General features: G+C 39.4%; 1 long non-coding RNA gene across 1 annotated transcript in view; it reads right to left on the reverse strand.

Moving 5' to 3' along the window:
* CIBAR1-DT (CIBAR1 divergent transcript) overlaps positions 1-27,598 on the reverse strand; it is a 353,967-nt gene that overhangs the window by 210,061 nt on the left and 116,308 nt on the right. The window contains exon 6 of the long non-coding RNA NR_033858.1: positions 7,495-7,591. This is a non-coding gene — a long non-coding RNA (CIBAR1 divergent transcript). The remainder of the gene's footprint in view (positions 1-7,494; positions 7,592-27,598) is intronic.

The raw sequence follows: 27,598 nt of genomic DNA on the forward strand, positions 1-27,598 counted from the left end.
CCACAATGACCTCCTGCCGATCTACCATGATCCAGGTTAAATGGCACCTTTTCCTTGATGCATCCATCCTCTTATATACTCATTCACTGAGCCCCAGCCCTGGGCCACGTACTTCCCTGGGCCCTAGCAATGCAGTCATCTGCAGAACTGGCAGGCAGAGCTCACAGTCAAGCGAGAGACCCAGGCTTAAAACACACAAACATAGACTTCAATGACACAACAAGGGTAAGATTGAAACTGTGACCAGTCTGAAAAAGAAAAGAAGTGCTTCCAGCTGAAGAAACAGCATAGGCAAAAGCCCTCTGATGCAAGAGACCCCCGCAAGCAGGAGACAGCAATAAAAAGCTAGCATGGGGAGAGGAGAGAGCTGCAGGGAGTGGCTATGAGTGCAGCTGAGGCCACATGAGGGCTTCATGTCCATAAGAAGCTGTTTTATATTTTTAGAGCAATGGGAAGATGTTGCAGAGTGTTCCATGGAAGAGAGTCTGCTCAGTTTTGCTCTCCGAAAAGATCTTTTTGGCTGCCATCTAGAGAATGGGTGTGGAGGGGGCCCTAGCAATGCAGGATGTAGAGGGGGCTGGGGTGAATAGCGACTAAAGGGAAATTAAGTGTAATTTCTCTACCACATACCAACTGAAAGTGTGGAAAAGAGACACAACCTATTCTGCATGGTATAGAAAACCACCTCAAAATTCTATATTTGCTGTGAATAATCCCCAAATTAGGATGAAGTCTTCATCTGGTTCTGACCAAGAGACCTCCATCCCAGCATCCCTGCACCTGTCTCACACCAGCCCAGAATTAGAGAAGATTGTCACCTCGCTCCCAATCTCCAGGACAAAGAAAAATCACCAAATATACCAGCCAGGCATGGTGGCTCACACCTGTAATCCCAGCACTTTGGGATGCCAAGGCGGGCAGAGCACTTGAGGTCAGGAGTTCGAGACAAGCCTGGCAAACATGGTGAAACCCCATATCTACTAAAAAAAAAAAATACAAAAATTAACCAGGTGCGGTGGTTCATGCCTATAATCTCAGCTTCTCAGAAGGCTGAGGCACAAGAATCGCTTAAACCCAGGAGGCAGAGGTTGCAGTGAGTCGAGATCATGTCACTGCACTCCAGCCTGGTTGACAGAGTGAGGCTCCGCTCAAAAAAAAAAAAAAAAAAAAGAAAAGAGGCCAGGCGCGGTGGCTTACGCCTGTAATCCCAGCACTTTGAGAGGCCGAGGCAGGTTGATCAGGAGGTCAGGAGATCAAGACCATCCTGGCTAACATGGTGAAACCCTGTCCCTACTAAAATACAAAAAATTAGCCGGACGTGATGGTGGGTACCTGTGGTCCCAGCTGCTCGGGAGGCTGAGGCAGGAGAATGGTGTGAACCCGGGAGGCAGAGCTTGCAGTGAGCCGAGATCGCGCTACTGCACTCCAGCCTGGGCGACAGAGCGAGACTCCGTCTCAAAAAAAAAAAAAAAGAAAGGAAAGAAAAATCACTAAATATTTATATTCACTTAACCATTATATTTCTGTGTTAATATAACCATGAATATTTCCTTCTCATAACAAAAATGTTACGTTGACCCTTTCTTACAGATGGTTCTTGAGATGATGTCATCATTAATATTCCTAAATACCTGTATGTTTGGCATTATTTATTTTACAAAACATTTTTATATTTGAGAATTTTGTTCCTTATATGAATACTTCAGTTATGTTAGTTGCCAAAATACACACACACACACACACACACACACACACACAGCAGGAAGAAATAAAAAGTATTTGTGGCAGATTAATAATCTGAGACATCAAGCAGCAGGTAGTATTCATATTCCCTGCAACATCCCCATTCAGTCCATGAGACACTGAGTTGCCATTTGCCATGGGGAAGTAGTTGCCTAGGAGGAGTCAGAAGAAATGCCTAAGTCTTGAATTTGAGGTAAAAGCCTCAGATGTGAGAAAGGAGACTGGTGCATATCTTTTTTTTTTTTTTTTTGAGACGGAGTCTCGCTCTGTCGCCCAGGCCGGACTGCGGACTGCAGTGGCGCAATCTCGGCTCACTGCAAGCTCCGCTTCCCGGGTTCACGCCATTCTCCTGCCTCAGCCTCCCAAGTAGCTGGGACTACAGGCGCCCGCCACCGCGCCTGGCTAATTTATTGTATTTTTAGTAGAGACGGGGTTTCACCTTGTTAGCCAGGATGGTCTCAATCTCCTGACTTCATGATCCACCCGCCTTGGCCTCCCAAAGTGCTGGGATTACAGGCGTGAGCCACCGCGTGGTGCATATCTTTAAAGCAAAGGAGCTAGTCTCTACCCTTCCTTCCCTCCCCACACACCACCCCTTTCCTGCTGCCATTCCATTAGAGTTTGAGCACATGAGAAGAGGAGAGACAGAGAAATCCAGATGAAAAGAGCAGTGAGGATTTTTTTTACTCTTTTCTTCCTCTGGCCAAATTAGAAACCTGAGGAATACTAGGGTATTCTCCTGTGATGTTTGAGAATGTGTGAGAGAAAAAAAAAAGATTGCAAATATATTTTCCAGATACAGTTGGAGGGCAGCAGTCTTTCCAACCATATTCAGCCCTATGAGACTTGAAGGAAATAAAAGTGTGGGTGGCATGTACACACAGACGTGAGAAAGGCCCTGACCACCATCATCAGCCACAAGCCAGGTGTGGAGGTCTGTGAGCATCTCATGGGCCCAACACAAGGACAAGCCAACAAGCAATCCTGGGAGACCACCTGGGGAAGAATTCCCAAAAAGAGAAAAAGGAGAATGTAGCCACCTGTAGCATGAGAAGAGGGATAGTTGCTTCTCTGTGTGATTTCCCCGGGTGTCAACCAGCATAGGATAATAGACAACAGGAACATCAGCAGAATAGAAAAACGGATGTGGTATCTCTCCACCGTCACTATCAGGAAAGCCACTCCCTCTCTCCTTGGGATAATAAAGAAACCGGATTAGGAGAAAGGAAGAGGAAGCAATATGGTTTGGATGTTTGTCCCCTTCAAATCTCATGTTGAAACGTGATTCTCAGTGTTGGAAGTGGGGCCTGGTGAAGAGTAGTTGGATCATGGGGGCAGATGAATGGTTTAGTACCATCCCCTTGATGATAAGTGAGTTTTTGCTCAGTTAGTTCACATGATATCTGGTTGTTAAAAAGAGTCTGGGACCTCCCCCTTCTCTCTCGCTTGCTCTCGCTCTCGCTCTCACCATGTAATATGCCAGCTCCCAGTTTTCCTTCCGCCACGATTGTAAACTTCCTGAGGCCCTCACCAGCAGCAGATGCTGACTGACATGCTTCTCGTACAGTCTGCAGAACTGTGAGCCAAAATAAAAAAACTTTTTGGTCAGGCGTGATGGCTCACACCTGTAATCCCAACACTTTGGGAGGCTGAGGCAGGTGGATCGCTTGAGACCAGAAATTTGAGACCAGCCTAGCCAACATGGTGAAACTCCGTCTCTACTAAAAATACAAAAATTACCCCCGTGTGGTGGTGCACACATGTAATCCCAGCTACTCATAAGGCTGACACACAAGAATTGCTTAAATCCAGGAGGCAGAGGTTGCAGTGAGCTGAGATCACGCCACTGCACTCCAGGCTGGATGGCAGAGTGAGACTCTGTATCAATAAAAAATTTAAAAAAAAAAAACTTTTCTTTATAAATTACCCAGCCTCAGGTATTTCCTTACAGCAACACAAGAATAAACTAACACAGGAAGAAACTCGATGGGGAAAACAGTCTTGATACAGTTGAATACTGAACTCATTAAGCTTTGAGCTGGACTATATTTTATACATCTTGATCAAGAAATGAGGAAACTGGACTGGTTTAATTTAAAAACAGGTTGAATATTCAGTGGCAGAAATTAAAATTCGTCTAGAAATAAAGTTACTTTTTGGAACAAAAATATACAACCATAAACTAATACCAATTTCATGTAGACATCACACACTACAGGATAATATAGGAGTTTCCTGGCACACATTTTTGGCCTGACTACTTTGGAGGTGAGTGAATGAGATGTTAGCATGATAAAAAGAAATGCTTAAAGGTCCATTTGATTGAGAATATAAGTACTATTTGCTGCTGAAGTTTGGTTTGCCAACAAGAATCAGAAGCCATGAGATTGAGCCAGGTAATCCAAAAGTTGAAGCTTTAGTCTGTTAAAAAGCAACACTCCTTATGTGACAGCAACACAAAGGGGCAAATAAAATTCTTACTATACATCTCAGAGAAAATATAGTTGATTTATGGGTGTAAGACATCCTCCTCTCAACTGAATCCTGGCCCCTCTATAAGATTCACTATAATTGTTGGCAAAAGTGCCACTTGAGACAATTACGGTAATCTAGTCTGGCTGCCATCAAAGAAGACGACTTTGTTTTCAAATCTACTGAAGCCAACCAGGATCTCTTTCTTTCTATATTTTGAAGATGATCATACATATGTTAACTACATTTAAACTACTTTTTTAAAAGCTCCTAAAAGGTGTAATTCCCCCCACTCCATCCCCCTCATGAGAAAGAGAGAGAACAAAACCAACATCAAAGTCCCGTTTACTAAAATCTGTGAAAGTCAGCTTTGTTTAGTTGTTTTTACTGCCGAGATTCAAATGACCGTCCTCTTCCACCTCTTTACCACCTCTATTCCGGCTCTGTCCACTGGAAATCATCTGGGATCACACCTCAGCACCAATAGGATGTGGCGGGGAAGGGTTTTGCAATGAGGCAGGGAGGAAAAGGAGGATGCCTCCCAGCTAAAGTTGGAATCAAAACATTCATAAAGGCAAGCACCATCTGCAAGACAGAGTGCTGCTTCTCAGGAATGGCTCCTAAGGGCAGTGCAGAAACACCAAACAATAAAGAGGCAGACACCAGCCGGGCAGCAGGTAGAACAAGTGCAGAGATGGGCACCTCCAATATCAAGGTGAAATCGGTCACGCGGATGTTCTTTACAGAAAGCTAACATGCTGCCTGAAAGATTCAGTGCAGCTCTCCAAGTGAGAAATGCTCCTGGACTGTTATTATTTATCCAGAGCCCCAGGTGTACATTGAGCTCTATAATAGGTAGCACGTGCCAAAACAAAGAGCAGAGCCCTTGCCCCAAAGAGTTTGCTGTCTAAAGGCACATTTGGGTACAGTTATACTCCACGAATCAGCAAAGCAGAAAATAAACACAACACAGACAGACACCAAGGAATAGATCTTTGCTGAATGTGTCAGAGCTTTTGGAAACAGGAAGACTTTTAAAGGAGTTGTGGTTTGTATTTTATGTTGTATTGAATTTTTTTGAAAAAAAGAAAAAAGAAGAATCTGCTGTCAATAAGAATTTAAAGAGATCTTGACAGCCTAGAGCAATAGGTTAAATATACCAAGATGACTTTAAATAAGATGTAAAAATCTACATTTGGGGACAAAATATAAAAACAGCTTAGGAGCTGATTACAAGTTAATACCATCAACACCACATTCTATCTGAACTTCCCAAACAGTAAGTTGATATGAGGATGAACTCATAAAAGGAAAGTCTCTAGGATGAGAGAGGTGAGTTGGTTCAGGGCAGTCTCTGAACAGGGTCTGGCTCAGATATAACATCCCAGATCAGATTACTGAGATGCCATGTGGCACAGTCATTACAAGACCAGGCTCTGGACTCAACAGTTTATAGATCAGGTCTCTATCTGCCAGTTGTGTCATCTTGGGAGAGTACATTTTCATGTCTATGTTACTGTTTCCTCATTTGTAACACACAAAAAAAGGAATAGAGAAAGAAAAGAAAGAGAAAAAAAGAAAAGAAGGATGATAAGAACACTGAATGCATGGGAAAATCCTCACAGTGTCTGCCATGCAGTGAGCTATTCTTATAGCTAAGCCTCTGAAACCCCCCAGTCTCTCCTTTCCCTCCTCCACTGAAATCTTGTTGTAACTGAATCTCCCTTGGCCCTGTTCCTGAGCTTCAGCTCTGATAACCTTCAGGTTGGGAAGCAAGCCCGATGCAGTAGCGATATAGCACTCCATGACATGCCCTTCCCCGGCTCTTCTTTGTCCTTAATTTTCAGCTTGGTGAAAATTCACCATATTTATACTTCTGCAAAATAAATAGAACCAAGACTTATGTTTCACAATTTACAGCATTGATTCCATGTGCAATCATGGTTCATGACTAATGGGCTTCTAGCAGTTTCAAAAATGTTTCTTTCTCTGTAACTTTGAGACACTGGGAGTGGGTGTGCTACAGTATAAATGGGAAATTTATAATGTAGGAGATCTTGTGTCCTACCGGTCTGGCCTTTGCCTAGGATGCGTGCCCTGTCTGGTTCTCACAACTCTTCCTTCTGGGCCCAAGCCACTGCCATTTGTTGACGGGACCTCCAAGATGTTGCCCCGTCTCTGTACTTCATCTACCTGTTGGCGTAGTCCCCTCTTCTATTGGTGTACTAGCCAGGGTTCTCCAGAGAAATGCAACAAATACATATATATATATATATATATATATATATATATATATAGAGAGAGAGAGAGAGAGAGAGAGAGAGAGAGAGAGAGAGAGAGAGAGAGAGAGAGAGAAAGATTTGTCACAAAAATTAGCTCATACAATTCTGTGGGCCGAGAAGTCCCATGATCTGCCATCTGCAAGCTGGAGAACCTGGAAAGCCAGTGGTGTAATTTAGTCCAAATCCAAAGGCATGAGAATTAACAGCACTCATGCCTGAGGGCAGGAGAGGATGGATATCCCGGCCCAAGCAGAGAGCAAATTTGCCCTTCCTCAACCTTTTTGTTCTATTTGGGCCCTCAATGGATTGGAAGATACCCAACCACATTGGTGAAGGAGATTTTCTTTGCTCAATCTACTGATTCAAACACTAATCCCTTTCAGAAACAACCTCCCAGACACATCCAGAAATAATACTTAATTAGCTATTTGGGCATATCTTAGCTCAGTCAAGTTGACACATAAAATTAGCCATCACAGTTGGGATCCCTCTTGGTCTACCGTCTGCCTAAACTGGGACCTGCAATCTCCACTCTCCCTTAGGCATGGTGTTTCCCTGCAAACTGAGCTTCCAATGGCGTTGATTCTGCCAGGACCCCATGCCAGCCCTGATCTGCCATAAGTAGTCTGCTTCACCAATTCCTAAGTTGCCCAACCTCAGCTAGTCAATACTTCAAAGCCCCTGCCTCTCTTAGCAGACACTTGTCTGGCTGAGGGAGGGAATGTGCCCCAATAAGACATCTCAGTCTCTTCTTGAATCTTGTATCACACCATTACTTCCAACAGCCTGTTATTGCTACCACAATGAAAAGAACACTGTATCAACAGAAGACAAGCTTCAACTCCAATTTCTCATTGGATGCTACATGTTGATTCTATTGTTATTAAAAGTCATTTGTGTTGTCTAACTTGTAATAACATTTTCTGATTGCTGTTTGCCATTTTTCCCAGTGACTGCTTGTGCCATCACAGCCTGCTCAGAGTCCTAGCATCATTACCTATTCATGCATTCTACATGCCATCTTCCTCCTTTCTCATTATTGGGTGACTTTTCACTTGGCCTTTTCTGCAGATCAGCCCCTCAGAATATGCCATCTGGAAAAATGGAGAGTGAAACACTGCTTTAAATTAAAAAGAAAAAAAGAGAGAAAGAGACTTTTCATCACCCTGAATTAGACCCAATTTTCCCACTCTGTCACCACCCTCACAGGAGCTGGCACACTCTTCAGAAGCTGTCCGTGTTTCTTCTAACTATGACAGAGGGGGCTGAGGAGAAACAAGAAAGGAGGGGAAAGAGACAGAGAAAGAGAGAGAGAGCCATCCAATCCAATGCATTGATAGATTTGGCTAGATTGATGTCATTGCTCATTAAGAAAACAGGCAATCTGCTTCTCGTTCTCATTGGAGAAAATAAATTTGCACAGAGCCCAGCCAAATAATGTGTAGTAAATGATCAATGTTATCTGAGGGAGAAGATGATTGATCCTTTATTTCTTACACCCTCTCATGCATAATGCATACAACCCAGGATGTCCTCAGCTTGCCTCAGGACCTAGCAGTGATGTACCGCATTACCATGCAGAACACTCATGCTGAATTTCTAGGGACCGTCTCCACATTCCTGAGCAAGTGAGAGCCAGGAATGCTTCAGAAATCAAGAGTCCCTGATAACGGTGTGATGGATTCTTGAATCTTTTCCAGGCCTTTTTACAAACATATGCATGACTCAGGGAAAGTCTCAGAGAGACTTCAGACCTCAGTATCCTTTAATGCAAAACATAATTGGTAATATTGGCTTCTTTCAGAATATCAGTTAAAAGATTAGAAAAATGGAAATCTTTCGAAAAACCAAAAATGCGGGAGATCTCTATAAAGGAAAATGAACTGTATTAACTTTTTATTATAGTGATTCCATTTCAGAGAACCAAGGTAATCATTTGTGATTTTGAAGAAAGCTGGCTTCTCAAATGTTGTATGTTAAGTTTAGACTATTGTTGCTAATTCTCTATACCCATTAAATAGTGATGATGATGATGGTGATGATAACAATAATGGCAGCTAACATTTTTAAACTCCTATTTGCCAGGCTTTAAGTTAAGGACTGTACATATGTTATCTCATGTAATGTAAACTAAGGTTTAGAGAACTTCATTAATTTGCCCAACGTTCATAGCTAATAATCAATAAATTCCAGAGCCACCAGTACCAGTTCCTACACGTGAATGCTACTAGTCTGGGGTTGGGGTTAAAATAGAGGAATCAGAATATAAAGTGGAACTGGCCATCCTCAATAACTACAACTGGCTGTTAGAAGATTTTGTAAACTAACAAAAATTGAAAAAAACTGATGAATTTTAGTCCTTACTATGAGCCAGTCGCAATACTAGATTCTTCACATAAATTTTAATAATAATAATGAATAAAATGATAACCAATCTGTAGAGTAGATGATATCTCGCCGTGTTGGTTATTAAGTGAGGGTTTCTCAATTTAAAACCAGCTTCTCTACTCTGCTCACAAGATACTGGGGCTGCAACTCTGGAACTCTGCAGACCACGTCGTTTCCGCTTTGCCAGAGGCTCCATTAGGCTCTGCCAAGAGGGGGCGCCAGAGAGACCACGACGCTAAAGGAGTAAGAGGGATTTTGATCCTTGTTGTTTTACTTCCTATTCTTGTCAGCAGCATCTCAGCAATACTTCTTAGCCCTGACAGCAGCAGCTCATTCCAGCTTCCAGTAGCAGTTTTCATTCCAGTAGCAGCAGTGATTCAAGTGTGCAGCTTTTCTAACACTCGCTGAACCAGCCTCATTGTGCCACCTCTGGACACCAGCCCAGCCAGACCATACACCCTCCTCAGAGACCTGCGTCCCAGCTCTGCAAGAAACCTTCTCCTCCAATCTTCTGAGTTCTAAGTAATCCCAACTTCTGTCTTCTGTTTCCTCAGCTGGGAAGTGGTAGGATCTGCACGATCACCTCCATTATATCTAGTTGTTTGTTTTTTATCTTTTCATTTCTCTATTACCCGGTTAACATGTTTTAATACTAAATTATCTTTGTTACTAGAACTGGTAAGGTTTCTGTCTGCTCTCTGGAACCCCAGTGTTATAACCCCCAATTCAGTGATAAGGATAAATTGCTCATATTTACTACTAAGTCAATAAAGGAGTTTAAATGGAATCCAACCCCAGGTCTTTCTGGTTCTCAGTCATATGCTCTTTCCAGTACCCCAGGATGCCTCCCCAAACTAGGCAATGGTATCTCCTCTGCCTATGTTGAATAAGAGGACACACACAAAAAAACATACATCGTGCAAATGAAAGTCTAAGAAATACCTGGATACAATGTAAAATGGTGTGATTGCGCACACCGACATTTCTTTTCAATATTATTAGTGACAGTAATGACTATTGTGTATACAAAGTAGGTTCCATTGCCCTGAAGTGCCTTGTCCAATAACTTAACCTGCTTCTGTCCTTGATACAATGTGAATTCTTCTCAGGGTTCAAGAATATGTCATGGCATTCCTCTACCTGGGTAGCTTCAAACTCCGCTAAAATACTTTGAGCAAAGAATGAGAAATGACTTGTAACTAAAGCCATCATCATTTTCACAGTAAAAGAAGTACTCAGAACTTCAAAGAGATTATGGTAGACTTGTCACTTTTGAGTTTCTAGCAGGCCTCCATTCTGTAACAACAGATACCCCAGAGGCCAAAAGAAAGTAGGATCAAAAGATATATAGTGTGTGCTGACATAGACAGACACCTCAGACCCACTAGCCCAACAGGGTGATTGTAAAGCACAGCTACATCTACACTGTAAGACTTAAGATGACTGTTGAATCCAAAGACCAGGAAAAGTGAGAATTCAGAATCTATTCTGATCAGAAGCCAGGAAGTCAGAAACTATCCCCGGAAGAGAATATTAAGGCCTCACCAGAAATTTCAGCACATCATGTGTAATAAAGTAAACTAAGTTTATTTCAGCTAATAAGTCTAGAAATGTTTACAACTCTCATATTAAGTTCTACAGCATACATATTAAAATGGAAGTAGAAGTTTTTATGCCACTTGAAATGCACACATACACACAGATGGCACACATGTAATTTCTTTCTCCTTTCTCAAAGTTTTGCTGCTTTCCAAATCATTGGTGCAAGGTACCAGTGTTTCTTGCTTTTCGTTGTGTGTTAAAGTTAAAATAAAAAGGGAGGGACTATCTTTTCTTATTACATTTGCAAATTCATCTAGAGGCCATATTGCACTGAGCCCATCTAAAACACATGACAAATGCACTCGTATTTCTAGGAAATCCTAACAGGGTCTAGGGGACAAAATGAGCAATTACAACAACTTGTTAACCTAAACCACAATGAAGCGTAGAGCGGTGGGCTGTAGAGAAAAAGTCACCCTTCCTGCCTTCTTTGTGATGCTTCTTTCTAAATAAGAACCCCAGACAGTGCCTTTCCCAATGTCATTCATCCAGTAGATGCCTGAAAAATTCTCTGATAACACTGTCAGAACACAAGGCATTATAATGAATAGTAGGTGATAAATATATAGGTAATGGCTTAGCAGTGATTGTATCTTTCTACAGCAGTTTAAAACAATAAAGCCCGGAGTGGGCATGGTGGCTCACACCTGTAATCCCAGCACTCTGGGAGGCCAAGATGAGCAGATCGCTGAGCCCAAGAGTTCGAGACCAGCCTGGACAACAGAGTTTGAGACCAGCCTGGACAATATAGTGAGACCTTGTCTCTACAAAAAAAACCTCTAAAAATTATCCAAGCATGGTGGTGGGTGCCTGTAGTCCCAGCTACCTTGGAGGCTGAGGTGAGAGAATTGCTTGAGCCCAGGAGGCAGAGGTTGAACTAAGCCAAGATCACACCACTGCACTGCAGCCTGGAAGACAGAAACAGACTCTGTTTCAAAAAAATAAATAAAGAAAATAAAGCCTGTTACTATGATATAGATAGATAACACTAGATGTGAAAAGCTGTAACTCCCTTGTCTTGTGTCACCCCAGGAAAATGGAACTAGGATGCAAGCACAAGATTCCACTTAGTAACATAAAAGAAGTCACTCTACTCACTTGGGGGGCTGTACTCAAATGTCCACACCCTCCGAACTTGGAGACAGCATCAGGAAACAACCACCCACTGAAACTGAAGGTAGAAAAAGTTGGCATATAAGAGATTAACATATTCATATTCAGTGGTTGTAAGACTTGGTATGTAAATGGCTTGCTGCATAGACTTAGGAATCCAACAAGTTCAACAGCTAGAATGTAGGGAATGAAAGTTCTAACCTAATCAACTGTATTTGAGAATAAATATAAAGGAGAGATGTATCGACAGAAGAGAGGTCTGTGTGTAGTAAAGGAAAAAGAAGGCTAAAGAATATAAATTTGCCAATGTGTTTTCAGTAGTGAATGAGGGACGGCCAAGTGCAGTGGCTCACATCTATAATCCCAGCACTTTGGGAGTCAGGGGCAGGCGGATCTCTTGAGGTCAGGAGTTCGAGACCAGCCTAGTCAACATGGTGAAACCCCATCTCTACTAAAAATACAAAAACTAGCTAGGCGTGGTGGTGGGTGCCTGTAATCCTAGCTACTGGGGAGGCTGAGGCAGAAGAATCACTTGAACCCAGGAGGTGGAGGTTGCAGTGAGCCGAGATCGCACCACTGCACTCCAGCCTGGGCGACAGAGCAAGACTCCCTCTCAAAAAAAAAATAGTGAATGATGGATAAACACTGTATTAATAAATAAATATTCCTGTTACTGAAAGAATTACTCTATTTCAGGGTGCAGGCATAATTAATCCAGGATGAGAGGCTGGCATAGGAAATAGCTGAGGAACAGAAAAGGAGTCTAATAAGTAGGTCATATCAAGTCATTTTAGAGTCACATAGGGCATTGAAGGCAAGCCCTATAGTCAAAGGAAATTCATACCATAAACAATGTAGATGACCCAGATTCCATGAGGGAGAGGGTACCAGGTAAGTTACAACTGCATCTGAACACCTGCAGTGTGCACCGCCCATCTGATTTGGGAAACTTGGACATCATAGTGATTGGTAGATGGAGAAAATGGGGAGGAGGACTTGTGCCGTGCTTATAAAAATGGCCAGCAACCAGCACAGTGGTTCATGCCTATAGTCCCAGCTACTCAGGAGGCTGAGGTGGGAGGATCACTTGAGACCAGGGGTTTCAGGCTACAGTGAGCTATCACTACGCTAGTGAATAGTCACTGCATTCCAGCCTGGTCCACATAGCAAGCCTCCATCTCAAAAACAAACGAATAAAAAACTAGCCAGCAGAAAACAGGTCTCTACACTTTCTCGACAGGGCATATGATCTGAAAGTCAGCCCTGTTTAATTAGGGTTGTGCAACATCTCGGATCAGATAACACTCAAAACATATGTTTAGTGGATGTAACTTGGTACTCCAAATCTCAACTGACTCCAGATCAATGGGAACACAAAAGCTGAGAATCAATTCCTGGACAAGAGTTACCAAACCAAGGCCCCACTTGCCTGAAATACCTGGCTTGAGTAGCCAGCCACCTTACCACATCTCTGTACCTGCTATAGTGGCCCCGAGTCGGCCTCCTCCTAGGAATAAGGGCTGAAATGTGAGTATTTACCTTACCGTGTATTATCATCTCCCTTTTCACATCTATGTCTAATCTCTCCAATGAAGTCATAGGCAAAATCATAAGAAGGACCATGTCCTAAATTCTTTCCATTATGAACTAACCATGATTGTGGAGCATACTATATTCTAGACCCTGCACTAAGAGCTTTACTTTATTTCACTTGTCACAACAACTCTGTGAGCTAAGTATTATTTTCTTGATTTTACAAGGGAAGAAATAAATGCATGAGTTATTTAAGAGACAGTTGGATAATTTCACTGTGATTTTATTTAGTAAGTAATGGGGTTGGATTCAAGTCCAGGCAATCTTAACTCCTAAACTCATGCTCATAACTGCTATGGAAATGTGGTGTAATGTAATGGCTAAATAGACAAAAAGATATGCCTCCCAGTTACTCAATATATTCTGTTACAGTTTTTGAAAGGGCATGGTAATGGCACCAGAATCGATGGATTGATAGAACAGTAAATTCAGAAATAGACCCATAATGTATCAGAATTAATAATCTGATAAAGAAAGTATCTCAAAACAATAAAAAAATCAAGGAAACTTCAACAAATAATAATGGAGAACCTGGCTAACCATTTACAGAGAAAAAAATTAAATTCTTGACCTATGCTGTATACCATGAAACATTCCAGTTAAAGATTCAAATAGGAACAAACAAATAATAAAAGTATTATAAGAAAATATAAGAGAAATTGATGTAATCTTGTACTGGGAATTACACCAAAAGTAGAACTTATGAAGGGAAGAGATGGATAAATGTGATTACATATCATTTTTAAAGTTTCTGCTTGATCCAAAACATCACTCACAAAGTTTTAGAAAACAATTGACAGACAAACTGAGACTTATAAGGTAGAATTAATGACAAAATAATTAATAAGCTTAATATATAACAAACTTAAAAATCAATAAGGAAAATATAAACAACCATATAGAAAAAAGTGAGCAAAAGTTATGAAGAGGTAGACCATAGAGAAAGAATAAAAATGGCAACAAGCATATAAAAATATTTTCTTACAATTGTATAGTAAGAAAATAAATGAAAATCAGAAAAACAAACTGATAATATTTTTAATCTAACAGAGTAATTTAGTTTTTAAAAAAAAACACAAAATCTAATGTTGGCAAGAGTTTCAAGGAACACAGGCGTTCCCATACACTATTGGCAAGAATATAAATTAGTTTAACATCTTTTGATGACAGTTTAGCTATAGTATTAATTTTTTTCCAGAAACTATGTTTCCTAATATAATTTGTCAAATGTTTTTTAAAAAATATTGCAAAGGTATTCATCATAGAATTTGAGGCCAGGTGCAATGGCTCACACCTGTAATCCCAACACTTTGGGAGGCCAAGGCAGGCGGATCATTTGAGGTCAGGAGTTCAAGACCAACCTGGCCAAATGGCAAAACCCCGTCTCTACTAAAAATACAAAAATTAGCCAGGCATGGTGGTGTGTGCCTGTAATCCCAGCTACTCGGGAGGCTGAGGCAAGAGAATCTCTTGAACCCGGGAGGTGGAGGCTACAGTGAGCCAAGATCATGCCACTGCACTCCAGCCTGGGTAAGAGAGTGAGACTCTGTCTCAAAAAAAAAAAAGAATTTGTTATAATAGCAAAATAGTAAAAATGAATGAAATGTCTATTAGTAGGGAAACAGCCAAGTAAATAACAATAGATCCATACCATTGAGTACCATGTGGCTATGAAAAATGATGACATACGCTTAATGTATTGACGTGAAATAATGACCATGGTGTATTGTCAAGTGAAAGTAGCAGATTGTCAGACAATATGGATGTGATTATCTCATTATCATAAAACAATGTAAGTGTATGTGTAAGGGGTGCCTTACACATGCTTAAGAAACAGTACGAAAAAACCTACACCAAGATATTAACAAGAATTACCATTGGATGATGGCATTACAATGCAGAGATACTTTATTCTCTTCATTTTTTTCTTTCTTTTTGTAATCAGCATATTTCACTTTTACCATTAAAAAGGTAGACAAAATTGATAGTACTTTATGAAAAATGAGATTTTTCTCATCTCCTGAGACTCTTTTCATTACAGATATTACACTCATATGTAATTTGTTCATCCACCAAAGTGCAAAAAGTGTTCAGTCATTGGAAGGGATCAAGCCTTGCACTTGGGTGGTTGGGAAGCTTCTGTCACCTGCTATACTAAGAGTAGAATTAAGCTTCATGGATCAGATTATTTTGAGCAAAAGTTCTCAGATGTTGTCCAGAGAGATCATCTGAGTGAACTCTTGTTCTCTGCCCATGAAAACTCTATAATGAACATCATTCATCCTCGCACATTTCCCATTTACTTCTGAGTTGTTGATTGGCAGGTGGATTAGCAGTGAGTATTGAATTGTTCAAGTAAAGTCAAAGACTGGACTCTCAGGACTATTCTTATGCCACAAGTGTCTTAAATTTGGAAGACAAAGGAAAAGTTAATAAAAACATTGTGTGACCCTCAAATCTACCACCTGCCACCCTCCCTGTTTGCCCATACACACATCAATATATACCCACGGACATCATTATTCTTGCCTCTCAGAAGTCTCAGGCAGAAAAGCCAGAGATGTCATCGAGAATCCTCCTAGGGGTACAACCTGTGTTCTCTCCTGGAGTAATTACAGCCTGTATTCATCCCGGCTGGGCAGGCTGACCTCGTCTTTTAAGTTCTTTATTAAACAACATCTGTACCTCACTCTCCTATTGTGGTGAGGTAAGACATAGATTGTCCCACAGCCTGATAACAGCTGTTTTATCATTCCTTTTACAATCTCTGAGAACACGAAGGAAAAACTCCCAACTGTGAAGCTAGGATGATTGGAAACACCCTGAGCTCCAGATTAAAAGCAAGAAAATTGCACCAAACCTCAGAGAGGTTTTTTTTTTTCTATACTTCACACAGAGGCCCCCCACCATCCCTGATTCCTTGATTAAATTGTTAAAGTTTAATAAATTATCATGTTCCTGTGGAAAACTATAACTGAAAGCTTTTTTGTTTGTTTTTTAACTAAAAGCTTTATGTACCAGCTGGCAATTTTTCCACTAATGCTGATTTTAAAAAAAATTTTTTTCACATAAAAACACTCCCCAAACATACCTAATCACTGCATTCCTCAGGCATACCTGACTCAGTTAGATTCCAGATAAGTAACATTACAGTTCATCCTCACATCAGCGATTGTTACATGAAAAAGAAAAGACAGAAACATAAGTGAATTGCACAGAGAAAGCCAAGTGGATAGAGAGAGACAGCTTTCATTTGCACATTTATACAGTTCAGGAATCTACTAAAGGTGTATGAGAAATGAAATCTGAAAACTTGTTACCTATGGTTTTTTTGCATTTGTTAGAAAACTTCAACCTTAAAAAGGTAAAGGATAAATAGTTGAAGGGAAAAGACTATATGGTGAATTATTCATTCTAGCTGGGCCATTCCAGGTCACAAGACAGGAGACTTCTTATAATCTTACACATAATAGAGATCTGGGATGACAGAAGCTCTGTTAAATCAACCCATACTGCATACAATTCTTCAGAACGCAGTACTGATAAGGCACTGGTAGACCCAGGAGAAAAACATCTGAGACGAATTGTCAGGAATCACAGAAAAGCAGGTCAGAATGGAAGCCTGTTTTATATAGCAATTTGTCCAAAAGGCCAGACAAAGAGAAAATATTGTCAAAACTTCCTTCTCTTTCCCTGACTTCATGTCCCCATTATTAAGGTGACTGCAATAATAGGCTAAACAGCATATTTTTAGGGGAAAGGGGAAAGGGAAGAAATCCAGGCCATGATTGGTTTGCAAGACATTTTGAATGATTGTAAAAATATTATGTGTACATAGAGGACATTTTGAAAAATACAGAAAACCAGAAGAAATAAGTAATTTCTCCTCTCACAATTCAGAAATAAAAACAATCATTAATACTTGGTATAATGAAATAGACCAAATCCTTTTGGTCTATTTTACATGGAGATATATGTATTTGATGGTGATAATAAATCTAAAATGTACATTATATATGTATGTATACACACACACAAATATACACACATAATTCTCCCCCAAATTAGATAAAGATATATATATGTATATATGCATACAACTCTCCCAAAAATTTGATTTACATTATATATACTGTTTGTAATCTGCTTTTTTCTCTATTCAGTATTTTAAATTCCTGAGTATTTTAATTAAAATATTACCATGCTTTAGATTTATCACCACCATCAAAATGGTTTTAAGCACCAATATGCATATAATATGTTAATATTTTTTAAGGTTTTAAAAAAAACTTGATACAGAATCAAGCAATTTTCTGACATTTAAGGAATGTATATCCAATCTCAGTTTTGCAGTATCCCATGGTGTATCATGGAATTGTCTGGTAAAAGAATACAAGGTACATAACTTCTCTAAGTTTCAGTTTCCTTTTTATAAAATGCAATGGTAATATTGCAGCCTCCTTATTTTGCACAATTCAGTCCTGGAAGTGGTCATAATATCAGTTAAAAGAGGAGTCCCAAAATGATATAAATATACCTAAAACATTTTACAATAACTAAAAACACATCAGTGAACATTCACTAAGCTTTCGAAATAGTACTAATGCTTTTTTTTGTCGGGGGGGATACAAATCTTTAAAGGGTCATCTTTCTTGCATAAACCATACCCATAATGTATCTACAATTTCCAGCTCTACATTTTTTTAAGGAGGAACAAGAATATACAAACACTTGTGAAACAACCTAAGTGCAAAATCCTTCCAGATTTTCTTACTTTTTCCCCACACTAAAGTTAAGAGCAACTTGTTTAATGACTTTCCTTACCAAGACCTTTGAAACTTTCCACTTGGTTTTCATGAAAACAATACTTCTTCCTTCCCCATTCATATATCATTATTGTATATAATATTTAATAAATTCATATAATCTCAACACCACCACACATTTGAAAAACAGATTGGGAACAAACTCAACCAGCCCTCCTGAGCTAATCCCTCAGCTGAGTGAGGCTGAGAAGCGCAGCACACCAGAGAGCCACCCACTGGCCTTGAGCATTCAGTGTGCTGGGAATACCAGTCAACAGGTTTTGGAGCAGCAGCCCTCAATCTTTTTGGCACCAAGGACTGGTTTTGCGGAAGACAATTTTTCCATGGACAGTGGGAGAAGGGAATTGTTTGGGATGAAACTATTCCACCTCAGATCATCAGGCATTAGATTCTCATAAGAAGTGCACAACCTACATCCCTCACAAGCATAATTCACAATAGAGTTTGCGCTCCTATGACAGTCTAATGCTCTCGCTGATCTGACAAGAGGCAGAGCTCAGGCCAGAATGCTCACTTGCCCATGCTCACCTCCCGCTGTGTGGCCTGGTTCCTAACAGGCCATGGGCCAGTACCAGTCTGTGGCCTGGGGGTTGGGGACCCTTGTTTTACAGGGATGGGAAGCTTCAGATAAGACAGCCATGGGCTAAGTGCTTAAGATTGATGTAGATATTAAATGAGTTAATGCACTCAAAATGCTCAGCACCATCCTTGGCACTTAATTAGCTCTCAGTAAACATTAACTGAAAAGAAAGAGAAAATAAGAAAATGACAAAGACCCTTTCTGCAGTTTCCTCACAATCATTGGAATCTAGTCAGGTTTTAGCCAAGATCAAGAAAAAAGAAAAAATGCCTAGAAGTAGAAGACTTGCTGTCAGGCTAGATTATCTGTGAGGATGACGATCTGATAAAAATCAGCTGCAGCAAATTGAAAGTACTATCCAGAGCGTAAGTTGTCCAATTCGGATGACAAGGTATGGTTGGACATTGGATCCCAGCCTCAGATGGAACCATATAGACTTACATGTAATGAAGCACCCATGAAGACTTAACTTAGAAAAAATTCTAAACCTGCATCATTTTGGTTTTATCAATTTTCATCATCATCTTTCTCTTTTCTAGAAAATACACCTCATACCACCAACCTAAGCAGAGCTGATTTCTTTTAAATTTTACCATCATCAAAAAGGATAATAGTTAATATTGGGTTTCGATTAGCTGCACTAAAAGGACCTGGGAATGCACTGCAAGAGCAAGTAGACAGAGCTTAACTTTCTATCAAACACAGAATTAACAGAGAAGACACTAACAATCAGTGGTGGAATGTCAATGATGTAAATAAATAATAATAGTTTGACAAATTCAGCCAAAATCCTAGAAAGCAAGAGTTGAAACTGATTTCTTTTGCGGATAATCAATGCTGAGAAGATTGGAAGATGAATAGAAGGAGTTAGGACCAGAGTTGTAAATAACAAGGAAATGTAATCAAAGAACTTGTTCAAGTTTTAGTATGACATGCCTATGAGTAGCAGAAGAAAGACTGAAAAGAGAGCAGTTTCCTTATTTAACAATTTCAAGCAAATTTATCCTGGGTCCCAGGCCAAATTTGGGTCATGTCAATTTGGTTCAACCATCTTAGAGTCACAGCCGCCTTTGATAACCTGTGAGAAAACTATGGACCCCAAGATAGTTTTTCAGCATTTTGTAAAGCTGCATGCACTTACCATGTGATCTGGCAACTGCACTGTTGGGCATTTATCCCCAAGAAATGAAAACTTACATCCACACAAAACCCTGTAAACTAATGTTCATGGCAGCTTTTTTGTAATAGCCCAAAATTGGAAACAATTTAGATGGCCTTCAGTGGGCAAATGGCTAAACGAACTATGGTCCATCCCAATTGTGAATATTGTTCAGCAATAAAATGAAAGGAACTATTGATACACTTAACAGCTTGGATGACTCTCAAGGGACAACACTGAGTTAAAAAAAAAAGTGAATCTCAACACTGCAAATTATATGATTCCATTATATAACATTCTTAAAATAAAATTATAGAGATGAAGACCATATTAGTGGAATATTAGTGGTTGCCAAGGATTAGAAATGGCAGAGAGGGAGGTGGCTGTGGTTATAAAAGGGGTAGCAGAAAGAATCCCTGTGGTTATGGGATAGTTCTATGCCTTGGCTATGTTGGTGGTTACTCTTAACTGCATGTAATACAATTGCATAGAGTTACACACACATACATGCACACACATGCACACACATGCACACACATGTGAGTACATGTAAAACTGGTGAATTTCAATAAGCTCATGGATTGTATCAATGTCAGTTTTCTTGATTAGGTACTGAACTATAGTTATGCAAGATGTTACCTTTGGAGTAAACACAGGACCTCCTTTTTTTCAATTGCCTGTGAATCTCTAATTACTGCAAAATAAAGTTTTAAGAAGATACATATATATACTGATAGAGAAATGTGTACTTATATTACTAAACTCAACTGCCAAATAGAATGACAGTTTGATCCCCTTATAAGGAGGGCAACTGAGGATGAAAAGAGTGAAAAGTAAAGAAAAAGGGCTTCTAACTTTATATTTGATATACTTCTGTGCTCTTGAATTTTTTTAGTTGATATGCTCTGTACAGTTTGAATTTTTATAGTGTGAATATATTACTTTTATTATTTAAAAAGGCAAATGAGGATAAAATGAGAAATTCTTTCAAAAAAAATCTGTGGAGTCTCTTCCCCCAAAAAAATTCACGAAAATTCTGTACACAACTATAGCAATCTTGTGGACCCCAAAGCCTATCTGTGAATCTCATGACGGGTTCATGTCCCTGACTAGGAGCTCCTGCTTTCAAAAATGGATGCCTGTACAAATGGAGAGAAGTGGGGTCAGGGGACCTATTAAATATATTCTATAATCACCCTGGGCTCTATTTGCTATGATGCTCAGCCTTCCTCAAGTGGGAAATAAAGATGCATTCCTTTGTTTCTTTGGAAGTGACTAGATGGAGAACTCTGTATTGGAACTTTAGGAGCCACACCAAGGGTGATCATAACAAACATGCAGGAATACATTAACATATAAATAACTTATTACTAAGAGTACTTAGAACAACATGAGGAAATAGAACAGTTCTTTGAGCATTTGTTTACTAGCCATATTCTGGGCAATATGCTAGACACTGAAAATAAGGCAGTGAGAAAAACAAGCTTGTTTTCTACCCAGAAACTACTGAGTGCCTAAAGGCACAGGAAGATTCTTCGCCTGCTTAATGCAAGATGTCCCATCTTGTTAAAAATCTGCAGTTTATGAACTACTTGTGTAAAGGATTCATAAGAATTATAGAACCAGAGTCAAAATATTTTATCATATCAGTCCTTGAAGAACATATAATATGCAAATATATGAAGAAATATCTGATATATATATTTTATTATTTTACACTGTATTTTATATACATTGCATTAAATATATATGAATATATAGACATATATAGCTTTTCAGAAAAACATTGGTTTTAATCTTCTGACTCAAATATGTCAAAGAAAGCTAAATGATTCAATAATCCAGCCAAAAGATATCTTGTTGGTGTTTTCTTTTTTGTTTAATGGATGGTTTGGTAGAGAACTGTAGTAATATGTTAATAGGAACAAGACTGGTGGGAAGACACATGAAATATTTAAAATTTTGAAGTTGAGAAGCAGCATGGCCCAGAACGCACGAGGCTAATATTACCGATTCTGCAGCCAAACTAACTCTCTGGGTTAGAATCTTGAATCTTCCACCTAACAGCCATGTGACCAAGAGAAGTACCTACTCTCTGTGCCTCAGTTTCCTCATCTCTAGAATGGATGCACGACTGAGTTGTAATAAAGGTTGAATAAATTAGAGGGCTATGAAAGTGCTTGTGAAATTTTTCAACAAGTATTTTGTATTAGTCAGCGTTCTCCAGACAAACAGAATCAATAGGATATAAAGATATAAAGAATTCATTATGAGGGATTGGCTCACATGATTATGGAGACTTGGGAAGTCCCTTGTACTGCCATTTGCAAGCTTCAGACCCAGGAAACCCAATGGTGTCATTCGGTCAAAGTTCAAAGGCTTAGGAACCAGGGAAGCCAATGGTATGAGTTCCCGTCTGAGGGCAGGAGAAAACTGAAGTCCTAACTCAAGAAAGTCAGGCAGACAGAATACTTCTATGTTCTATTCAGGCCCTCAACAGATTGGATGATGTTCAGCCACACACTGGGATGGGAAAACTGCTTTACTCAGGTTACCAGTTTAAATAGTAATGTGTTCCAGAAACACCCTCACAGACACACCCAAAAATAATGTTTAACCAGATATCTGGGCATCCTGTGGCCCAGCCAAGTGGACACATAAAATTAACCATCACACATCTGTTGGACTAAAACCAAATACTATGTGTGTGCAGTGAAAACAAATTCCTGGAAGATGAATTATTTGAATGGGAAGGAATTCACCATCTGGGGGTGTGCAGGGGTGCACTCTCCCGGATGGAATCCAAGCAAAGGCCAAGGCAGGAAGGTGAGAGCAGGTTTGGGAAAAAGTGGACAAGCACACTTAGCTACAGCCCTGGAGCTGTGCCTCAAGAAGACAGACACTGGCCTGAAAGAGTAGATTAGAGGCTTAGCAACACCCTGGCTGCCAACTAAGGATCAGGATTTCACTGAAAGATTTTAAATAAAGGAGACCCCTGACCAGTGCTATACTTGGGGAAAGTCAACCTGTCCCATGGATTAGATGAGGACATGGGGACGCCAGTTATGAAACCATTGTGTAACAAAATATCAGGAGAGGTATAGTACAGGCTAAAGCAGAATTTGAGGGTGAAATAAATAAGAAACAGAAATGAACAGTAACTGAGTAAAGAGAGTGATGGAAGAAATGGCATCCCCAATACACCAAGCCCAAGGTGTCATTCATTCCAAGTTTGAAGGCTTAGAACCTAGGGAGCCAGAAATAGAAGAGAAGACATAGAAAACAATGACAAGAAAGCTGAGAAGTAGAAAAGAAAGAAATAGAAAACTGTGGAAAGAAATCTAAGAACTTGCTACATGTCAAACATACTGATCACTTTTCTATAAGTTTTCCCTTTTGATACATAAAGATAACTGTGGAAACTGGTAAAATTATCCCCTTGTTTACCCAGCAAGAAGCTGAGGCTCAGAAAAGTGAAATTATTTGCCTACCTCACATGGCCAGTCAGAAACAAAGCCAGGATTTAAACCCAAAGCTTCCTTGCTCCAGAGTTCATGCTTACTATACTAGACCACGCTAGTTAGGGGATGCAGAGGGTAGGAGATTTCGCCTCTTTTTTGGACACATCACTGGACTTCCAGATGAATTTGTTGAATGGGTGGCAGCTGTAAAAGCATGAAGAGGTCTGAGGGGAGAAATGAGGGTTAGAGAATGGAATCCAGAAGCTTCATGGAGGTTTTGTAAGAATTAGTGAAGCCACTGAAGTGAATAATCTATAACAGATCATTTATAATTATTAACTTGCACGTTCATGTGCTGGAATGTAATCATGTTTGTCTGAAGGGCCAACACAGCAGTTTTAAAGGGATTCACAAACAGAAGAAAGCTGCTGTTCTCTCCAGTAAGCAATATTTTAGTGGCAAAACACCCCGTGAATGGTTTGTGAGTACAAAGCAGCAGCATGTGAATAGCTTTTTACAATATCACGTTCTCTCCTTCCACTTGGGAAGGAAGCACAATGCTACCATAAGCAGATACTAACAGAGCACAGATGCTGGCGCTGATGTCAGCGTAAATGCTGTCCCGCACCAGAAAAAAAAAAAAAAAAAACCTCCCAAAGTACTGTGCCTGCATAAATCTTATATTTTTATGAATCACTGCCATCACTGCAACCTCACACTGAAAATTTGTGTCTTAGATGTGAATGGATTATTCCAGATAGTTTCTCTTAGACTCATAATTTATACTTGTCCACATATCATATCCAAACAGGGCTTTGCTTCCTAGGTTGCCCAAGTGGCAGCCTGTACCTAGTGTGGCTAAAGTTCGAAAATATCATTTAATTTTTATCCAGAGGAGCAAAATCGGTCTGATGCTTCTGTTGTAAACATCCAACCACAGATTCAACATAAATATTTCCACTTCTGATCAACAGCAGTTTTCCAGAGCCAACAAATACATTCCACTATACAATTTTATGCTTTGTAAAAGGTGACCTATACTTTCTTTTTCAAATGCAGTTTCTTTAATGAAAATATTGTAATGTCAGTCCATGCAAAGCAAATGCATATTAATATGCGTTTACATCTGTCTCATATTAATATTCATGCCTGAATCCACATCCCTACACAAAGCCAATTTTCTGACCATCTGTGTGATGGCTGGTGGATGCAATGAATAAATTTTATTTGTGAGGGGAGTGATAAATCATGTATCTTCAGTTTTTCACCCACAATCTTTCCTCTTAGGTGCAAAAATGTTTTTATCGTGGTTTGGAATATTTAAGTAAACGAAACAGATTAACCCTTTAACATTCCTACAGATACAGGCAATTTTATAAAGGGCATGAAAATACAGTCTCAACAACTCTAAAAATAAGAAAAAGGAACTATGGATTTACTTGCTTAGATTAGACATCCTTTGTTCCTATGTGAGTTCCGGTCTTTTACACTAATCTTTGATATTGTTTAAAATGTACTCTACCTGTTTTTGAAAATTTCACAGATGAAAACAAGACCCCTGCAGAAAGAGTGTATTCCTAAAGAAACTCCTGACAGTCATCAAGTACCTTAAAAATCCTACTACAAAGTGTAACCATACATAAAGAAGATTTCAAACAGGAAAGAAGATTATGAACAAAGAAAGTGTATTAGTATTTACACAATGATCTTGGTACTTTCAATTTCACCCTGGTGAAATATCAACATTTCAGTGGCAACAATGTGTTTGTCAATTTGGTGATCTGTTGAGGAATATCACATCCAAATCTAAGAAGCAATTACCTTTCAGGATGCAACAAATACAGTTAATTAACCTGGCAAATAGAGCCCAAAGAGAAGGATTAAATTGAAAAGTAATCATATCATGATAGGGAGGCATGAAAATATTGCACGCTGAAGAAAGAAGCATGATCTGATGTCTTAAATAATGAAAACCATGTCAGGTGGTCTAAGATGGTTTCCTTGCCTCTTCCAGGAATGGTTTCTATGAATTCTAGATGAATGGGCCACTAGATTGAATCCAAACCCAAAGTTTCAATTTGATTTCATTTACCTTCTCTGAGTCAGACAGGGCTTTTCTAAGGTCACTGAAATTGTCCACAGTCACAAGTAGCACAAACCATAACTTCCAGGTCAAAGCAGAAATAAATTGGAACTTACCGTTCTCACTTACAGGCTGCTGAAAGTTTCTACTTCTATTGTAATATCACCGAACCAAGTGACAAGGTCAAATGAGAACTCTCAGAGCTATCAATCTACTGTAGATACCCACGTGGGCCAATGGATAGTCAAGTCATAAATGCAGTAGGATCAGAGAATTGTTAGCTCAAATAAGCAAGTTACTTATTGAACACCTGTTACTGGCGAGGCACTGTCCTGAGATGCAGATCAAGATGCCACATTGGCCTCAGAAAGCTTACCACCTCACTAATAACACAGACAGGTTCTCCCACAAGGTTCTGAGCCATTAAGCTGGTGTATGATAAATATGAACTAAATACTATAAAAGGAATTTAAAAGATGATGAGATTCCCGCTGTCCCAGATAATTAAGGACCTTCTTTAAGAGGAATTTAAGATCAACCTTGAAGGCTGAAAAAGTTCGGATGGTTTTAGAAGTCTCATCAGGTGGGAGAAGCTTTACAACGGTTCAAGGCAGGAAATATTTAGTGGGAGAAGTAGGAATAATTGGAAGGAACTGCAGGTAGCCACTCTGGTTACAGCTGAGAATTAATGTCCAAAACTATGGGAGTTAAAGGAAATGATTTTAGGCAGTACCACAAGTAGGCACTAAATAACACTGAATTACAAAGTCAGAAAAATAATCCCGTAGTAACTCTGTTAATTCTCTTCGTTGCCTCAAGAAGATAGTCTGTTTGGTGCCAATATATCTTTAACACCACTGCAGTACTTGCTAAATCCCCGTTCTTAACAGAGAGCCAGGCCCAAGGCTCAAAGTCTACAGACTAAAACTTGATAACATTGTTTGGTTTCATGTGTTTATTTTTAGTATTACCTCATGTTATACCAAGTAGTACTTACTGGTCTTCCATTTGCGTGGTAATATAAAATTTCCTTTCAAGAAGTTTATTTAAAATGTTAAAGATTAGTTGTTTTTTAAAAAAAAAATAGATGATAGAACTGGTGATAATGAAGGCAAGTGATTTAAAATTTGTATCTAACAGGATAGAGTAACCAGCAAGATACAGAGATGAGTTGGTCTCAGGCCAGATTTGACTCAAACCAGATTTGACTGGTTTCAAGTCTAGCCTTTGATTTCAATTCAATTTGATAATTCTAAGTACCTCTGTTTTCCTCATATGTGTGGTGCTAAAAGAGGCATTGCTGAGGTCATGTTTGTGAAATCTCCTTCAGGCCTAGAATTTTAACAAAAATATACCTAAACCAATTATATATAAATGCAAAAGAAACATTATTTATACTGGCAAGAGAGAGAAAAGCATAATAGGTCACCAAGCCTCAGAGATTTACCATAAAAGATATAAACTAAAATACTTCACCAGAAGCAAAAGGATATTGCTTTCATTAGATCACTCAGAATTTCACACCATATACTTAAGTATGATTTAGCATAATATTGATACTTGTTCATATTTGCCACCTACCTATTTCACAGTAACATTGTAAGGATTAGTGATATGTAATGTTTCTTAAGCTATCTCAGCTCTTAAAAGAAAATATACACCATAAAATCAAGGTAATAGTAATAATAGTCATCATCATAATAGCAATAACTGCTCACGCATTTTCAAACATGGGTTCTGGGTTGATGGAAAGGGAAATTAGGTTGTAAGCTAAAAATGCAGGCTTATCAGCTGATTAGAACAGAAAGGCTTAGGATGGGATAAGAGTGATGCTATCTACAATTTATCAAGGTCTCAGATGGGTTCTGAGATTTGGCATTTGTAACAACTCCCAGTTTGCTGATGCTGCTGGTGTGAGGCCACACTTCAAGTAGTAAGACTTTTTCCACTCTTTCGGGGTCAGATCTAAGATATACACCATTGACTGTCAGAGGACTTAAGGGAGTGTGTCTGAATACATCTTGGCAAATCTATCACTGCTGCTTAGACTGCCCCATTTGGGTCACCTTTGTACCTGGTATTCTATCTCCATTGTCCAATCTACCGCCTACAAGAAAATTATTTTTCTCATTTTCTCCCTGTCCCACCCCCACTCCCAAACAAGATGTGAACTTTTTAAGAGCAGAAAGCATGATACATTTTAAAAACTGATCATGAGTAAACAGACAACCTATAGAATGGGAGAAAATATTTGCAAAGTATGCATTTGACAATGGTCTAATATCCAGCATCAACA

The sequence above is a fragment of the Homo sapiens genome, chromosome 8 (genome assembly GCF_000001405.40).
Source record: "Homo sapiens chromosome 8, GRCh38.p14 Primary Assembly".
NCBI lineage: Eukaryota > Metazoa > Chordata > Mammalia > Primates > Hominidae > Homo > Homo sapiens.